General features: G+C 48.7%; 1 protein-coding gene across 1 annotated transcript, besides 2 other annotated features; it reads right to left on the bottom strand.

Annotated features, from left to right (window-relative positions):
* Positions 1-15,292, bottom strand: CELA2B (chymotrypsin like elastase 2B). Its single transcript, NM_015849.3, has 8 exons — positions 15,231-15,292; positions 14,851-14,939; positions 10,201-10,298; positions 9,003-9,131; positions 7,996-8,132; positions 5,350-5,495; positions 3,959-4,111; positions 1-101 (listed from the first exon to the last, which is right to left on the bottom strand). Exons 1-8 carry the CDS (start codon positions 15,268-15,270, stop codon positions 84-86), a joined length of 810 nt encoding a protein of 269 aa, NP_056933.3. The 5' UTR covers positions 15,271-15,292; the 3' UTR covers positions 1-83.
* Positions 7,548-8,048: an enhancer, noted in NCBI's record as "H3K4me1 hESC enhancer chr1:15809843-15810343 (GRCh37/hg19 assembly coordinates)". NCBI's record gives its function as "activates a minimal SCP1, AML or CMV promoter by ChIP-STARR-seq in naive H9 embryonic stem cells {active_cell/tissue: H9 hESC(naive)}" and the evidence as "EXISTENCE:reporter gene assay evidence [ECO:0000049][PMID:30033119]".
* Positions 8,049-8,549: an enhancer, noted in NCBI's record as "H3K4me1 hESC enhancer chr1:15809342-15809842 (GRCh37/hg19 assembly coordinates)". NCBI's record gives its function as "activates a minimal SCP1, AML or CMV promoter by ChIP-STARR-seq in naive H9 embryonic stem cells {active_cell/tissue: H9 hESC(naive)}" and the evidence as "EXISTENCE:reporter gene assay evidence [ECO:0000049][PMID:30033119]".
* Positions 15,293-18,900: the final 3,608 nt, after the last annotated feature.

Raw genomic sequence — 18,900 nt, 5'->3', positions numbered from 1 at the left:
TTTGCATAGTTGTCACTTTATATAATATTATTTTCCTTCTGTGACCTTTCCAAGTCTGAAACAGTCCCAGGGACTTCTTTTGGTTAGTTATTTGCAATCACCTGCAGGACACACACACAAGAAAATTGTCAGGTTCACGTAACCACAGAGCTGTGCGTGGCAGTTTCCTGTCTCTGTCCTCCTGGGCTAAGCTACTCAAGTGAGTCACAGGCAGCCCACACTACAGTAGCTCCTGCCTGAGGAGTTCAGATGATGTTTCGGAGAAAAAGATGCAATCACAGCTTTTCATTGACCTGTTAGGGTCTTCCTGTAAAGGGGGTCTTAGCCAGGAGTCCTGTGTGGGCTTCAGGTCAGGGGGCCTTCGAACCCCCTAAAAATTATATGCCAAATGTGCGGATGGCATATTTTTAGATTTCATTTGTTTCTCATCAAAACTGCTGTTTGCAAGGCAGTTATGCACTGTGGTTGGGGCTATAACTGTTTCCAGAGGCTGTTGATCAGTATCTGTTAAACTTTTTTTTTTTTTTTTTGAGACAGTCTTGCTCTGTTGCCCAGACGAGTACAGTGGCATATTCTAGGCTCACTGCAACCTCTGCCTCCCAGGTTCAAGCGATTCTCCTGCCTTAGCCTCCCGAGTAGCTGATATTACAGGTGTGCACCACCATGCCTGGCTGATTTTTTTGCATTTTTAGTAGAGACAGGGTTTCACCATGTTGGCCAGGCTGGTCTCGAACTGCTGACCTCAAGTGATCTACCCGTCTCGGCTTCCCAAAGTGCTCGGATTACAGGCGTGAGCCACCGCGCCCAGCCTGTTAAACATTTTGATATGCCAACTTCATGATCCAGTGCTGTAAACGGCAGGATATCCAGCTGCTACAGCACAAATACTCAAGTGTGCAAGAATTATGTCCAAGGATGTTCATTGCACAATGTAAGAGTGAAAAATAGGAAACATGAAAGCTGCATTCATTACACTCAAACTATGGAATACTATTTAGCTGTTCAAAAGAATGACATGTATGTACTGACATGTAAAATGTGATAAGGTGTTAAGTGAAAAATAGCTGCAGAACAGTATGAAGACTCAGATCCTAGTTTTTGCTTAGAAGACAGTGTCTATGTGTGTGTGTGTGTATATAGATAGATAGATAGATAGATAGATAGATAGATAGATATGCACATAAAGTTGAGAAGACCACACACCAAGCTTTTAACAATGATTGGCAGGGCGAAGTGGCTCACGCTTGTAATCCCAGCACATTGGGAGGCTGAGGTGGGCAGATCACCTGAGGTCAGGAGTTTGAGACCAGCCTGGCCAACATGGTGAAACCCCATCTCTACTAAAAATACAAAAATTAGTTGGGCATGGTGGTGCATGCCTGTAATCCCAGCTAGTTAGGAGGCTGAGGCAGGAGAATTGCTTGAACCCGGGAGGCGCAGGTTGCAGTGAGCTGAGATCAAGCCACTGTACTCCAGCCTGTGCAACAGAGCGAGACTCCATTTGAAAAAAAACAAAACAAAAACAATGATTACCTCTGGAGAGTGGAATTGGAGATGTAAAATGAGGGGGGACTTCTACTTTTTTACTTGATACTCTCCTGTATTCTTTTAATATTTTTACAAAGAGTATGTATTACCTTCTGGAAAAAGAATAAAAACTAAGGATTGCTGGAGTTCATGTGTGACTGTCATTCAACTGACATTTGTTGAAAGGATGAATGCCGCAGGCCACTTGTCTCCTCTGCTTCTCTGCTCTTATCTTTTGCTTGTACTTCCTGACCTTGGCTTGTCACCTGTCTGGGTTTATCCAGGCAGGTGCTCTCAGTCACCCCCAGGGCTCTAGTGGTACGTGACTCCAGGCTGCACACACTGTGTCCCTGGGTTGGGGCCACTTCAAGGTTTCACTAGCCCCTCTGCCGCTGCCAGGGGCAGCCCCCACCCAAGGACAGCTGGTTGCTTGGCTCTCCCCCTTCTGAAACCCGTTACCGGGCATCTGTGCCTGTCCCGACTGCTCTCCCATGAACACAGGGCCTCTGCCCAGCTGCCTCGGGAGGCGTGCTGCCCCGTGGATCCCTGCTGCCATCTGGCCATGCTTTGGGATCTGGCCTGTTCTGTTGTGCTTGTGTCTGTGGCTGGGAACAGCTGATGCTGGGAACAGCTGATGCTGGGACAACAGATCGGGACAATTGCCCCTGCCCCTGCTTCAGGTCCCCAGGATGCTGCCAGGACCAGCTGCACGGTGACTCCCACAGCAGCTGGGGCTGGAAAACGGTCTTAGGATTTGGCTGGGAAAGGCCCCTAAGCAGCCTTTCGTCCAGTCAGTCTCAGGCCAGGCTCCTTTGACGTGCGTGGTGCCTCCAAAGGTGGACTCAGATGGGTTTTTCCCAATTTAGATATAAAAAGCCCCAATTAATGATTAATGGCTACTGTCTTTTTGATTTTCCATTTTTTTCCAACAAACTTTTTTGGAATTTCTGCCTATGACCACTTGTTGGCAAAAGGATGCCAGCAGACAGACAAATGAACAAGGAGCTGGCAAGAATCAATGGGAACACTTGGAAGCAGCCACCTGCTTATTTTGACAGTTTAGTTTTCTCCCCTGACCACGTGCTTATGGCTGCAGTTTCATATTTGGTTTTATAAGTGTCAGTTTAATTCAATTTAACACTTCTCTGCAAATTAAACTTAGTGAAGTCAGATGTCAGCTTTCCCCTTCTTTGGGGGCTCTGCCACGAATACCATAACTCCCTCTTGCTCTAGTGCCTAAAAATGTGGAGGTCTAGTTCAAGTCCCACTTTACAGAAGAGCAAACAGGTGGTCCCTAATTGGCACAAAGTATCCGCCTCTTCTCCCCCAGCTTCTATTACCAGGCATGGTGTCTCCTCTGCCCTCTCCTGGGCTCCCCTTTCTTGTGACGGGGTTTCCTCTTCTGGCTGCTTTCATCTACTTCTGTGTGTATCCATGGCTGCTCCTTAATATTTATGCCAACTATTATTATCATTATTTTCAGAGACAGGGTCTTGCTATGTCGCTCAGGCTGCAGTGCAGTGGTGCGACCTTGGCTTACTGTAGGCTCCACCTCTTGGGCCAAAGCGATCCTTCCACCTCAGCCTCCCAAGCAGCTGAGACTACAGGCATGCACCACCATGGCTAATTAAAAAAAAAAATCTTTGTAAAGACAGAGTCTCGCTATGTTGCCCAGGCTGCTCTTGAACTCCTGGGCTCAAGCAATCCTCCTTCCTTGGCCTCCCAAAGTGCTGCGATTACAGGCATGAGCCATGGCACCTGGCCTATTATTTTTAATAAATATTTTTAATGCTTATTGTTATAAAAAATGTGTGTTCATTGTTAAAAAGAATTTGAGCTAGTGTGGAAGCTCACAGGAGACAGCTCTCTGAGTTTACATTTACAAGACGGGGACCAACTCAGCTTTATTTGCCTGGGATGGTCCCAGTGTAAAACAGGAAGTCCCGCATCCTGGAAAACCTCTCAGTCCTGGGCAAACTGGGATGGTTGGTCACCCTACAGAATAGCTGGAGGACCCTTGAGGGGGACTAATTTCCAATAATTAATGCTATGGGGGTCTCAAAGTATCAGGTTTTGGGTTTTGCAGACATATACCCATTTATAGCACTGGATGGTAGAGTCTGGGCCACACACAAATACACAAAAATAAAATCATTCCTGTGGAACTCACTCTTAACGTACCTGAGGAGTGTCCAACGTCTTTGGACAAGGCCATACTCTCATGTTCCTTTTCACTCAGCTTTACCCACACAGAAATTTTGGGGACCCATGGGGGACTCAGCAGTTGCCAAGGTCTGCAGCCTCCTCCAAGGGGTTCCCATCTAGCTCTCAAGAGGAAGGAGGGGGTTCTCAGTCGCCAGGTGGGCATGGCACTCCCGAGGCCAGGTGAGCAGGTCAGTGCCTTGGGGCTCAGGGCTGCTCCGGTTCTTACCGAATTGATCCAGTCGTTGTAGTTGGAGACCCGCGTGAAGATGGAGGGCTTGTAGTAGTAGTTGCAACCAAGGACCGACGTGAGGCTGCCGATGCCATGCACCTCCCACCGGCCGTCAGATGCCTGACAGTTCAGCGGCCCACCGGAGTCTCCCTGAGGAAGGCCAGAGTTATAGGGAGTTGAAGTGGGAGGAAGGGGCTGCCCATTGGAACCATTGTTCTCAATGCATTTCTATTGTTCTGCTGCAGGTCACTGTCCTCTGAAGCTGGTCCTTGTGGTCATAGCTCAAGGTGGTACCATAATTCCAACAAGAGCCAACACTTATTCTTCCTTAGAGCTGAGCTAAGCATGTTCTATGCCTCATCTCATTAATCCTCACAAAATCCTATGAGGTAAATATTCGTAGTATCCCCAGGCCACGGAAGAGGAGAAACTGGAGTGTTGAGAGGTTGGGACTTGCCCAAGGTTGCACAGGCAGTTTGTAAAGGAGCTGAGGCCACATCCCAGACTTCAGCTGCCAGGCTCTTCCCCACTGGTTCTGTCTTCCCGCAGGTGGTCTATGTGGGCAGAGTGTGTAGGGCACAGTGTGATCTGAAGGGCGTGTGGATCTCCTTCCTACTCCATCCCCACTTCACTGCTAAGTCCAACACAGAGCAATTCCTGGTGGTTAAGACACTGTCTCCAGGAAGGTTTCCGTGACAGCTACCTGGAGGGGACACACTGCGCCATTGATGAGAGTAATTCAACAGAAAAACCAGAAGTCATCTTAGAAAGGCCTTAAGCCAGGGAATACTTTCCTTTGGTTCCCTTCCAGCGTAGAGGAAAGGATACAGAAGGACAGTCACGAGAGACCTTGATGAGACCCAGGGAAGGACTTCCCAGCAGTGAGATGGGTGGACACTACAAGGAGAATCTCAAAACATCTCAAAACAAGAACAAACAAGAACAAGGTCAGGTTTTTTTTTGAGTTTCACTCTGTCACCCAGGCTGGAGTGCAGTGGCATCATCTCAGCTCACTGCAACCTCCGCCTTCTGGGTTCAAGTGATTCTCCTGCCTCAGCCTCCCAAGTAGCTGTGACTACAGGCACCCACCACCATGCCTGGCTAATTTTTATTTTTAGTAGAGACAGGATTTCACCATGTTGGCCAGGCTGGTCTCGAACTGCTGACCTCAAGGCATCCACCCACCTCGGCCTCCCAAAGTGCTGGGATTACAGGCATGAGCCACTATGCCTGGCCAAAGGTCAGGTTCTGATATATCTGGTACCATTTCCGGGTGCTTCTGCCAGGAGGTCGGAGGATGGACCTATGGAGGGATGGTTTTCCATAGCCTCTTCCCATCCCCAGCCACATTTTGTCATGGAGCGGGGCCCCTGATTTTTGGTACTCACGTTGCAGGTGCATATCACGCCATCACCCCCAGCACAGATCATATTCGTCTTCACGGTGCTGCCCCACCAGCCAGAGCTGGAGCAGGTGGCATAGTCCACAACCAGCAACTGGCCCTGCTTCAGGTCATCAGGGAGAGCCCCGTTGGCTGAATGAGACCAGAGAGAAGCCATTAGGGACGCAGGGACTCCTGAGAAAAAGGAAGTGGTGGACCCCTACTGGATTTCCCCTGTTACCATCTTCCATCCATTGCAACATGGGAACAGCCATGTTTGTCTATACTGTGTCCTCACATTTGATTGGTTAGTGTGCTGGCCACTGGTGATTGGTTCAGCAGTGAACACCTAACTCAAGCTAAGCCAATGAACTCCCTCCCCTGAGATTTTGAGATGGGGACTAAGAGATTCCGGTTCCAGAGGATGCAAATCTTGGAAGCTGTTGTCAATGGCTGACATTTTCTTCTATGTGCAGAAGAATGAAGTAGACCCACAAAGAAAGAAATTTCTCAGTGAGTGTTTCCTGAGTTTCTCACAGGCTTCCAGCCCCTGATTCTAGTCTCTTCCTGATGCCTGGCTATATCTCTGCCCTTGGGTTGAAACTTTTAAATCCTTATAACAATTTCCCTTTTTTTGCTGAGCTAGCTCCATGGCTTTCTGTCACTTATCTGAAATAAGAAAGTGAGCCTCCTGGCAGTTAGAGCCCCCTCCTTGGGTGTGGTGAAGGGAGGGCTTTCATAATGGCCCCCAATGACACAGCCACCATCACCTCCATTACTGTTACCACAGCTATGAGTGGCAAGGATGAGATTAACATAATTTTTCACTTGCTATTGAAGCCAAGGGAAGTTAAGCGTCGGCCAGGCATGGTAGCTCACCCTGTAATCCCAGCAGTTTAGGACGCCAAGGCAGGCGGATCACTTGAGGTCAGGAGTTCGAGACCAGCTTGGCCAACATGGTGAAACCCCGTCTCTAGTAAAATATAGAAATTAGCTGGGCGTGGTGCACATGCCTGTAATCCCAGCTGCTCAGGAGGCTGAGGCAGGAGAATCGGTTGAATGTGGGAGGCAGAGGTTGCAGTGAGCAGAGATTGTGCCACTGCACTCCAGCCTGGGCGACAGAGCAAGACTCTGTCTCAAAAAAAAAAAAAATCAAGCTTTTTGCTTAAGACCATTCTAATTAATAAGTAATTAACACTTGTGTAACATTTTGCAATGTGTGATGCATTTCCACCTTTCACCTCTTTTAGTCTTCACCAACAGTGTTTCCATTTTACAGATGAGGAAACTGAGGTTCGGAAGTGGCTTGCCCAAGGTTTCACCGTGACCGACAGAGCTGGGCCGAAAAGCCAAGCATTTGGAGGCCTCCCCACTCTCACTGTCTCAGATGAAATGCACCTGCCCCAGGGTTGGCTGGGGAAACAAACAGGTGGTTGTGCTTGTATCTTAATAAGCATGAAATGCCTCTTCCACCACCACTCACCGCAGGATTTGATGTGTCCTTGTGTTTACAGATAAGCCAGTCAAGAGGGCAATGGGAATTTATTTGAGGGTACGTATGTGGATGTACCCCTGGAAAAACATGTCATTATACTTATGGGTTTATGTCATTAGGAAAAAATGTCATAATGTCATCATCACTAATAATGTCATTACGGTCATAAGGTCATTATCACTCATCCCTTCCTAGAATCTTCCAAACCTCTGGTGTTTTCACAAGGGAAGGGCGGGAACTCTGTTCCTCTTGGTGGCTACTGTCATTGGATCTCTGACCCTTGGAGTCTATGTCAAAGAAGACCCACCCTCAGCCGGGTTCTCAGTAGCAAGACCAAATGGCACAGGGGACAGCTTTTGCTATGGGGCATGGAGGGTCTGATGAGGGCTCCAGGGGCCTTTGTGGAGCTCCAGAGACCTCAGGTCACAGAGGAAATGCTGTTCTGAACTCTAGCCTTGGGCCACACAGAAGATGTCACATGATCTCTGTAACTTTCTTTCCATCATAGGGACAGTGACAACAACTAACACACAGCACCTACCACATGCCAGGCTTCCTGTGGATTATCTCCTTTAATCCTCTTGACAACTCTGTGATGTAGGTGGTATTATTATGCCTTTTTTTTTTTTGGAGATGGAGTCTCGCTCTATCCCCCTGGCTGGAGTGCAGCAGCGCAATCTTGGCTCACTGCAACCTCCGCCTCCTAGATTGAAATGATTCTTGTGCCTCAGGCTCCCAAGTAGCTCGGACTACAGGCGCACAACACCACACCTGGCGAGTTTTTTATATTTTTAGTACAGACGGGGTTTCACCATGTTGGCCAGGCTGCTCTCAAACTCATGACCTCAAGTGATCTGCTCGTCTCGGCCTCCCAAAGTGCCGGGATTACAGGCGTGAGCCACCGCGCCCAGCCAATTATTTGCATTTTACATATGAGAAAAGTGCAGCTTGGAGAGACCTAGTAATGTGTCCAAGGTGTCACAGTCATTAAGTGGGAGAGCTGACATTTGAACCCAGGCAGACATCAGCCTATGCCATCCTGTCTCTCCAAGGCAGCCACATGCCCAGGATAACATGTGAGGTGAGAGGCCCTGGCCGGACAGGGGTGACATCACCTCCCTTCCCTCCCAGGCCTGGGGGCTCCTGGCTCCCACTTACTCTGCAGCCTTCCCCAGCCCGTGACGTAGCAGGGGTAGTTGTTGGGTAGAATGGTGCCGGCAGGAGGGAGGCAGGCCAGCTGGATCTTGTCGGTGAGGGAGACGGGGTTAGCCAGTTTGAGCAGGGCAATGTCGTTCCTGGGTGAGTGCGGAGGCGGAGCATGAGAACAGGGTTGACTTTTCCTGCCCTATGGGGCTTTGGAGGGCTTGGAGACCTTGTCATCTTCCCTGTACGTTACCCCAGGTTGCTCTGACCGGCAGGGCCCACAGGGCATGTTTGAAAATGTAGAGGGTCGGCCAGTCACGGTGGCCTGTAATGCCAGCCTGTAATGCCAGCCTGTAATGCCAGCACTTTGGGAGGCCGAGGCGAGTGGATCATGAGGTCAGGAGATCGAGACCATCCTGGCTAACACAGTGAAACTCCGTCTCTACTAAAAATACAAAAGATTAGCCGGGCCTGTGGTGGTGGGCACTTGTAGTCCCAGCTACTCTGGAGGCTGAGGCAGGAGAACGGTGTGAACCCAGGAGGCGGAGCTTGCAGGGAGCTGAGATTGTGCTACTGCACTACAGCCTGGGTGACAGAGCGAGACTCCATCTCACAAAAAAAGAAAAAGGAAAAGAAAAAAGAAAATGCGGAGGGCTTTGTTGAAAGGGGGAAGGCAGGAGAGATTGTGTCCTACTCCAGGGACAGTCACAGGGTCGACAGCACTGTCTCTGTGTCCCCAGGACTTGGCATGAAGTAGATACACACTCAGCGGACAGGGGCCCTGCAGGCTTAACTGGCAGCAAACCCAGGTCGCTCTGGCAGTCTTTGCTTCACCCTCCCCAGGTCACATCCCCACCCCAGACATCTTTGGAGCCGGTTCCACATCTAATAGGCCAGAGCTCCTTTCTCTTCCCTATAGAAAAAGCAGAGGGGGTGTGGTGGGGTTGAGACCTTTGCCTCTGTGAGACCCCCATCTGTTCCCTGACAACCTCACCCCCAAGTGCACCCAGATAGAAACGAACCCTTTGGAGACCTGGTCGGAGTTCCAGTCCTTGTGCACCACAATCTTAGAGACACTGACGGCCAGCGAGCCGGACTCTGCAACGTAGAGGTTATGCTGGCCCAGCATCACGCGGTAGATCCCGGAGGAGCTGGGAGAAAGGGGTCCCAGGGAGAGGGTCACCTCCAGAGGCCTGGCTTTGAATAATGCTAGGGATAGACCCAAGTAACTGGCTGCTTCATGAGCCACTAGTTGGCACTTGGGGATCTTTCCTCCCCTGGGACAGTCAGTTAGTTATCATAGGGCCTAAAGTATATAATGTAAGAACTATGATCATATAATAATTGTTACTATACTAACTATAAACTACAATTTAAAATTAATGTTGTAATAGCACAAACTCTATAGTATTATGGAGGAATGAGATGAACACAGAGAAAACAGGAGTCATTTGCCCTCAAGGAAATTTTCAACCTTTTATTTTCAGATGGGGAAACTGAGGCCCAGAGAGGAGTAACTGGTCCGGAGTCCCACCGTTAGTGAGAAATCAGAACTAGAAGCCAGGACTCCTGACTGTAGGCCTCTATTAGTATCCCCATCACCTCCTAGAGCTTATTATAAGTCGGATGGGAGAAGGGATCACTCCTGGTAGGGAGTCACACTGACCCGGCAGAAACTCCGGTGAGTTCCAGCTGTGATGAGCAGAGGTCACGGACAAAGAAGAGGATAAGTGAACAACGTTGCAGAACCTTGTGGGCCTTTATAATTTGTCTGCAATTCAGAATTAGCTTTCATTGAGCACTTAATAAGTGCCAGGCACTTTAGCAAATCAATTGCTGAGTCCACACTAAATTCTGTTACTCCATTTTCTGCAGGTGATGGTATTGAAGCTTTGAGAAGTCAGTTAAGTTGTTCAAGGGAACCCAATTCCAGACACTGAGGCCACATGTAGTTTCCCCAAGAGGGCAGAGATTGGGCCTTCCCCTCCTCTTCATCCTCCCTCAGTGCCTGCCTGGCACAGACACTCCATCCATGCCATGAAATGACCCATGGGTGGGCCAACACACTGAACCATTGATTGACTACAGCTTGTGTCTCGGCCAGGCTAGTGGTTATTTGCAAGGTTACTTCATGTAGTGTGGTTCAGGCCATTTGAGCCCCCAGCTCAGAAATGAGCACCGGCTGGTGAGCAGGCCAAGCGCCCAGGGAATGGCAGTTACCTGATGCAGTGGGCAGCCGTCAGGACCCAGCTGTTGGCTATCAGGGACCCTCCGCAGGTGTGGTACCACTGGCCATTGGAGCTGTACTGCAGGGAGACCTGGGGAGAAACACAGGTCTGTGGCTGTGGCTGAAAAAGCAGGGCCTCCCTGCACTCCAGTTTCCCAAGAACGGGGCTGGGACAAGGGTAAGGGGGAGTGAGGCACTCACCTCAGGTACACAACTTAAGGGGGCACCCAAAACCTCAGCCATGAAGATAAAAAACATTTTAATGCAATCTATAGTAAAAAAAAAAAAAATCAGGCCAGGCATGGTGGCTCATGCCTGTAATCAGAACACTTTGGGAGGCCAAGGCAGGAGGATGGGTTGAGCCCAGGAGTTTGAGACCAGCCTGGGCAACGTGGTGAAACCCCGTCTGATATGGTTTGGCTGTGTCCCCACCCAAATCTCATCCTGAATTATAGTTCCCATAATCCCCATAGGTAGGGGGAGGGACCTGCTGAGAGGTAATTGAATCATGAGGGTGGTTACCCCATGCTATTTTTGTGATACTGAGTGAGTTCTCATGATATCTGATGGTTTTATAATGGGCCTTTCCCCCTTTTGCTTGGCACTTCTCCCTGCTGCCACCGTGTGAAGAAGGATGTGTTTCCTTCCCCTTCTGCCATGATTGTAAGTTTCCTGAGGCCTCCCCAGCCATGCTGAGCTGTGAGTCAATTAAACCTCTTTCCTTTATAAATTACCCAGTCTCAGGTATGTCTTTGTTAGCAGTGTGAGAACGGATTAATACACCGTCTCTACAGAAAAATACCCCAAAATTAGCCACTGGGTGTGGTGGTGCATGCCTGTAGTCCCAGCTACTCAGGAGGCTGAGATGGGAGGATTGCTTGATCCTGGGAAGTCTAGCTTGCAGTGAGCTGCGATTGCACTGTGCTCAGCCTGGGTGACAGAGTGAGGCCGTCTCCACAGGGGATGTCCTGTCAGCTCTACCTTGAGAATTTGTGGAGTGGTTGCTACCCTTTGGTCACTACCTCAACTGTGTGTCGCAATCACCCTCTCTTCTCGATGATCATTCTAGTCTCCCATCTCTTCTCCCCATTCCCACCCACATTTTCTCAACACAGCAGCCAGACTGATCCTTTTTGAATGGAAGTCAGATGACTTCTCTTCTCTGCTCAGACTCTCCAGTGGCTCCCCCTTTACAGTTTGCAAAACTTAAAACTGTCTGATGACCTGCTAGGCTCTCCGTGGCCTCTCTGACCCCATAGGCTCCCACTCTCCTCTCCTCCAGCCACACTGACTTCCATGCAGTTCTGCACATACACCAAACCCGCTTCTGCCTCAGGGCCTTTGCACTGGCTCTTCCTCCTCCCTGGAATATTCTTGCAAATATCGGCGTAGCTCTTTCCTTCACTTCCTGTCAGTCTCTGCTCAAGGTTGCCTTCTCCATGAGGCCTTCTGTGACCACGCTATCCCAAACAATGTGCACACACACATGCGTGCACGCTCATGTACATATGCACACACAGACACACTTGTCTCTTTCCCCTTACTCTGCTTTACTCTTCATAGTATCTTTCGTTTTCCGGCGTGTTATTAGTTTACCTATTCAGTTGTTTATTGTCTCTTCCACTTTATTTATTTTATTTTTTGAGATGGAGTCTCCCTCTGTCGCCCAGGCTGGAGTGCAGTGGCACGATATTGGCTCATTGCAACCTCTGCCTCCCAGGTTCAAGCCATTCTCCTGCCTCAGCCTCCCCACTAGCTGGGATTACAGGTGCCTGCCACCATGCCCTGCTGATTTTTTTTACTTTTAATAGAGACGGGGTTTCACCATGTTGGCCAGGCTGGTCTCCAACTCCTGACCTCAGGTGATCCACCTGCCTCAGCCTCCCAAAGTGTTGGGATTACATGCGTGAGCCACTGTGCCTGGCCACGTCCTTGTTTTTAATTAGCCACTGGGCATTTCTCGTTTTTGTGACATTAAGGGGCCTTAGATGAACTGGCTTTTAAAAAGATGCTTAAAATTGGACCAAGTGAAAAAAGACACTGAAAAGTATCTACTCCCCCACCCCAATTTAAAAATGTGCTGAAACCATCCTACAGATGGGAAATTTCGTCCACGTAATACGTATTATTTGTGGCCAGCAAAGTGTAGCTAAAAGAACAAGCACTGAACCAGATTTGAATCCTCATTCCCCCCCGGGCTAACCCAGTGCCTTTGGGTAATTCTGTAACCTTTCCAAGTCCCAGTTACCTTCTCTGGAAATGGGGAACATAAGCCACGGTGCAGGGCTCTCAGGGTGATTAATAACTGTAATTACAATAGCTGGCTGGGCAGGATGGCTCACACCTGTAAGCTCAGCACTTTGGAAGGCCGAGGCAGGTGGATCACCTGAGGTCAGGAGTTTGAGACAAGCCTGGCCAACATGGTGAAACCCCGTCTCTACTAAAATACAAAAAAAATTTGCTGGTGTGGTGGCACACATCTCTAATTCTAGGTACTCAGGAGGCTGAGGCAGGAGAATTGCTTGAACCTGAAAGGCTGAGGTTGCAGTTAGCTGAGACTGCGCCACTGCACTCCAGCCTGGGTGACAGAGTAAGACTCTGCCTCCAAAAAAAAAAAAAAAAATGCATTAAAATATTATTCCTCTTGGCTGGGTGTGGTGGTTCACACCTATAATCCCAGCACTTTGGGAGGCCGAGGCAGGTGGATTACCTGAGGTCGGGAGTTAGAGACCAGCCTGACCAACATGGAGAAACCCTGTCTCTACTAAAAATACAAAATTAGCCGGGCATGGTGGTGCGTGCCTGTAATCCCAGCTACTACAGAGGCTGAGGCAGGAGAATCACTTGAACCTGGGAGGCAGAAGTTGTGGTGAGCTGAGATTGTACCATTGCACTCCAGCCTGGGCAACAAGAGCAAAACTCTGTCTAACCAAAAAACAAAAACAAACAAACAAACAAACTATATATCCCAATATATATATATATATGCCTCAGCCTCCCAAGTAGCTGGTATTACAGGTGCCCGCAATCATGCCTGGCTAATTTTTGTATTTTTAGTAGAGGCAGAGTTTCACCATGTCCAGGCTGGTCTTGAACTGCTGACCTCAAGTGATTCACCCACCTTGGCCTCCCAAAGTGCTGGGATTACAGGCCTGAGCCACCACGCCTGGCCTATCATGGACAGTCTCTTAATCAAAGAGCAGATGAATGAACGCTGGCCTCTCTAAACACAGTGACTGCTGCATAGGTCACTCTGAATGCTCAAGGCTAGTGGGCTGCTAGTTGCTCCTTCTACTTAAATTAGAAACTCATCCTGGTTCAGCTGGGTTTGCTCCTAAAGCAGTTTATATCAATTATGTTTGCAATAGTGAAATTTGATTAAATATGTAACCAATGAAATATGAGTTCAGAAAGAGAGTTGTGAAACAAAGTTAAATGCTTGGAAGAGACTGAATACCATGATTCCTAAAAAATTGCTCTTGAATTAGTGTCTTTGAGGAAACAGAAAGATTGGGGGGAAAAGTCGTAAAAGTCGGGATGGGCTCGTAACTCAGATTGCTTTATGAATATCTCAAAGTTATTGCTCTGCTTTAAAGAAATGGACTTGTAGATGAGATATTATGGGGCATGGTTTATATGAAAAAGACAGTTAAGAACTCAAAAAATTGTTTACATAGTCTAAAATAAAATGTTTACAGCATATATGATTTAAAATAATTTCTTTATAACCAACTTTTCATTTAGTCAGTCCCAATTATATCAGATAAATGAGATTTTACTATATTTGTTTGCGTCAATGTAAACTTTACACATTTCTTTTGAAATTCCCACCGTTAACACGTCTTAGTAATTTGTGCCTGTGCCCCACTCGGCAGTTTAGTCTTAATATCACTATTATATCAACTTAAGAAACATTTATTTTCCTTGGTAACATTGATTTGCCTGTAGTTAAAGATGAATCTGCATGAATAGCACTGATTGGTTCCTTAAAGCAAGGAATATTTGCATAGGTAGTCTTGAATGGTTCATAGGATAATGGTACATTTGAAAGAAAGCCTCTGATTGGTTAACAGAGTAAGACTATAGTTGTAAATTTGTTTATGGGCAGTGGGGAGGGGACAGCTCTTTACTGCAGCTGGAGGAGGCACCTCTCCCTTCACTCCCAAGGTTGGCCAAGGCCACAGAAATGTATCTTTTTCTTTTTTTTGAGATGGAGTCTCTCTTTGTTATTCAGGCCGGAGTGTAGTGGTGCGATCTCAGCTCACTACAACTTCTGCCTCTCAGGTTCAAGTCTTTCTCCTGCCTCAGCCTCCCGAGATGCTGGGATTACAGGCGTGTGCCACTGTGCTTGGCTAATTTTTTATTATTAGTAGAGACGGGGTTTCACCATGTTGGCCAGGCTGGGCTCAAACTTCTGACTTCAGGTAATCTGCCCACCACGACCTTCCAAAGTGCTGGGATAACAGGCATGAGCCACTGTGCCCAGCTGGAAATGTATCTTGTTGGTGAAGTTTCCTGTGCTGCTCTCTGAATCCCATCAATCCTAACTTTGCCAGCACAATAGACGCCATGGTGGAAGGGCAAAGGGGGGATGTAAAGGGAGTGGGGCAGGGACGGGGAGAAGTACAGTGTGGTCAACTCACCTGCCAGGGCCAGCTGTTGGGCCTCGCTTCTTCACCTCCAAGCATCCTAGACATATCAGGCGCGTAAGTGGAGACCCCACAACTGAGGGCTGTGAAAAGAGAAAGGGTCTTGAGTCCAGGAAGCAGCGACCCACACAATGTAAACTATACATGCTGCATTCTGAACCCCCAAATAGAAAACCCTTGTTCTAGAAGGATCCCAAGAGGTCATAAAATCCTTCTGTTTGCTCCAATTCTTTGAAACTCCATTTCGGTTTTCTTATGATTATAGGTCTGAATGCAGTAGGGGTTGGGTGGGGGCGAGAGGGGAGGACAGGAAGATCCCATTTCCAGCCCCACCAGGGGATGGGAAACCAGTGCCTCTGGGTGACAGGACTTACCTCCAGCCACCAAAGTGGACAGCAGCAGGGTCCTAATCATGGTGTGTCCGTGGGAGTTCTGTAAGCGTGGCCCTGGATAAGGCCCTGGTTTTATGAGCAAACTTATCAGTGAGAGATACACTAGGAGCACGCAAGATGGGGATTTTCTCAAAGCCCAGTGGAAAAAAGAGCTTGTGTCCAAATTTTTTTTTTCCATTTTCTCCCAACTGTCACCCTAGAAATACTTTGAGAAGATGCCAAGGGTAGATACTGGAATATGAGTTCCATCTGTTTTAAAGAGATTATGTTGTGTATTAGGGAAGGAAGAAAAATACTAATTGTTGGTCCTTGGAGTTGTGTTTTCTTTTCTTTTCTTTTTTTTTTTTTTTTTTTCCCCTCCTTGGGTAAGACTGAGGAGAGGAGTTGTGTTTTCTTTCTTTTTTTTTCTTTTTTCCTTCTGAGATGGAGTCTTGCTCTGTCACCCAGGCTGGAGTGCAGTGGTGCTATCTTGGCTCACTGCAACCTCTGTCTCCTGGGTTACAAGTGATTCCCCTGCCTCAGCCTCCCTAGTAGCTGGGATTACAGGTGTGTGTCACCATTCCTGGCTAATTTTTGTATTTTTTAGTAGAGACAGGGTTTCGCCATGTTGGCCAGGCTGGTCTCAATCTCCTGACCTTAAATGATCTGCTCGCCTCGGCCTCCCAAAGTGCTGGGATTACAGGCTGAGCCACTGCGCCCGGCCAGGAGTTGTGTTTTCAATGAAAAGATTAAGGTGGCATGCTGAACCCACAGCGTTCTAAGGCAGTATTTCTCAATGGGGCTGGTTCAGCCCATCAGGAGACCTTTTGACAACATCTGGAGACATTTTTGGTTGTCATGGCTGGGGTTGATGTAAATTGGCATCCAGTGGGCAGGGAGCAGAGACGCTGCTAAACACCCGACAATGCACTGGGCAATAGGACTTGCCCTGCCCCAAATGTCAATGGTGCTGAGGCTGAGAAGCCTGTTCTAGGTCATACCAGGGGTTGCAGTGTGACCTTGGCTGAGTCATGTAAGTCTCTAGACCCATCTGTGAAACAGGGAGAGAAGCCCATGCCCAGTATTGTTTCACAACATTGTGGTAAGGATTTGTATAATGCGGGGAAGGTGCACATGTAGCAGAAGGCAAGGCCGACATGCACAATTAGGATCTGGCCGCTCTAATGATGGGGGGAAGCAGAATGCTGGCAGAGGAGGGCTTCATCTGGTGGGTGAAAATGCACTTTATGGCCGGACGTGGTGGCTCACTCCTATAATCCTAGAACTTTGGGAGGCTGATGCGGGCGGACCACCTGAGGCCAGGAGTTCAAGACCAGCCTGGCCAACATGGTGAAACCCCGTCTCTACTAAAAATACGAAAATTAGTCGGGTGTGGTGCTGCATGCCTGTAGTCCCAGCTACTCAGGAGGCTGAGGCAGGATAACCTCTCGAACCTTGGAGGTGGAGGTTGCAGTGAGCTGAGATTGCACCACTGCACTCTAGTCTGGGCAACAGAGCAAGACTCCGTCTGAAAAAAAAAAAAAAAAAAAAAAAAAAAAGGACCAGCCTGGACAACATGGTGAGACCACCTGTCACTACAAAATTTCTTTTAAAAAGTTAGCCAGGTGCGGTGGCACACGTATGTGGCTCCAGCTACTCTGGAGGCTAGGCCGAGGCAGAGGGTCACTTGAGCCTGGGTGGCAATGGTTGCGGTAAGCTGCAATCGATTCTCCTGCCTCAGCCTCCCGAGCAGCTGGGACTACAGGCGCCGGCCACCACGCCTGGCTTATTTTTGTATTTTATTAGAGACGGGGTTTCACCATCTTGGCCAGGCTGGTCTCAAACTCCTGACCTCGTGTTGGCCCGCCTCGGCCTCCCAAAGTGCTGGGATTACAGGCATGAACCACCGCGCCCAGCCGAGTTCAAGTCTTTGATCCATCAATTTTGAGTGTGGTGGTCTGGACAAGCCACTTATCTTCTGGGCCTTAGTTTCCTAGATAACCATCCAGGCCTGGATTGCAGGATTGTTGTATGGGTAAGAAAATGGGTGGGAAAGAATTCTGTAATCTCCCTAGGATGGTGCAAAGGTGAGAAAGATTGGGTGGGGGGCAGAATCCCATGGGACTGGATGTCAGAAGACGTGGACTCCAGTCCCAACTCCATCCCATACTACCTGTAAGAGTTTGGACTCATTTATGGTCTGTATCAGTCACTACAGTAACCAACTATTTCTTAAGTCTCATATTTTATCTTAAAAGTTCATGTGAATTTGGCGTTCTGCTCTGTATCTTTGTTTGTTTTAATATAAAAATAAAGTGTCCTGTATGAGGCCACTGAAAAAATACCTGCTGTGAATTTGCTGTGTAACCTTGGCCAGTCCCACAGGCTTTCTGGCCTGGGGTGCCTATCTACAAACAGGGAGAGGAACAGATGCTCAGTCTGTTCCATCATGTTGCTGTCAGGACTTTTTTTTTTTTTTTTTTTTTTTTTTGAGACAGAGTCTCACTCTGTCACCCAAGCTGGAATGCAGCCGCACCATCTTGGCTCACAGCAACCTCCACTAGGAGGTTCAAGCAATTCTCCTGCCTTTGCCTCCCGAGTAGCTGGGATTACAGGTGCCCGCCACCACACCCGGCTAATTTTGTATTACTTAGTAGCGTCAGGGTTGCACCATGTTGGTCAGGCTGGTCTCGAACTCCTGACCTCAGGTGATCCACCTGCCTCGGCCTCCCAAAGTGCTGGGATTACAGGCGTGAGCCACTGTACCCAGCCGCTTTCAGGATTGGAAAGTGACACAAAACTTCACTCAGTTGTGCTTAAGCCAAAGGGCCATTCATTGGGCCACAAAATGGCAAAGTCCAGGAGCAGAGCTGGGTTCAGGGCCCTGGTGATGGTCCCTGGACTTGGCTTTTCTTCAACTTTTGCTTCTGCCTTCTGCTTTGAGGTCTCATCTCAGGCTCCGTTAAGTGGCCTGTAGCTGCTCTGGGTTCTCCCTTCCTTGAGGACAAGATCACCACCGCATCTCTGGTCCAGAGTTCCTCAACTGCAGCAGTGTTGACATTTTGGGCGAGATGATTCTTGTTTTGAGGGCTGTGTCTATGTCTTGTGCTTTGCAGGAGTTTGACAGCATCCCTGGCCCCAGGCTGCTAGATGCCAGTCCCTCCCCCTCCCCACACAGTTGCCGCAACTAAAAATGTCTCCACACATTGCCAGATGTATGCTGGGGAGCAAAATAACCCCGTCTCCCCCTTCCCCTCTCGTTTTGCTTTGTAGCCTCACATCCCCTCATCCTCACACCCATGCAGTGAATGAGTGACAGCCCTCGGTAGCTCCCTGCACGAGTCGTGCAACCTCTCTGATTGGACCTGTCTCAGGTCACATGCCCATCCCTGAGCCAATCGCTGTGGTGGGGAAGGGGATGCAATGTGTTGATTGGCCAGGCCTGGAGCACGGGCTCCAGCCTTGGTCCTAGGCCATGAGGTTTCGGCAGAACCTCCGGGATCCCATGGGGCAGCGCCTGCACAGAAATCCAGGCTTCTGTGCTGGGAGGGGAGGAAAGAGAGGCAGAGGAGGCAGAGTGCAGGAAGCTGCTACAGCCCACTTCCTTCGCTGGAGCTTAGTGCTCCATTTATATATTGTTGGACAACGATGTCATGTGTCAGGTTCTAAAGTG

This window comes from Homo sapiens, chromosome 1 (assembly GCF_000001405.40).
Source record: "Homo sapiens chromosome 1, GRCh38.p14 Primary Assembly".
In the NCBI taxonomy this organism is placed as follows: Eukaryota; Metazoa; Chordata; class Mammalia; order Primates; family Hominidae; genus Homo; species Homo sapiens.
Note: the sequence above shows the minus strand (reverse complement) of the source record. Positions and strands in the feature narration are given on the sequence as shown.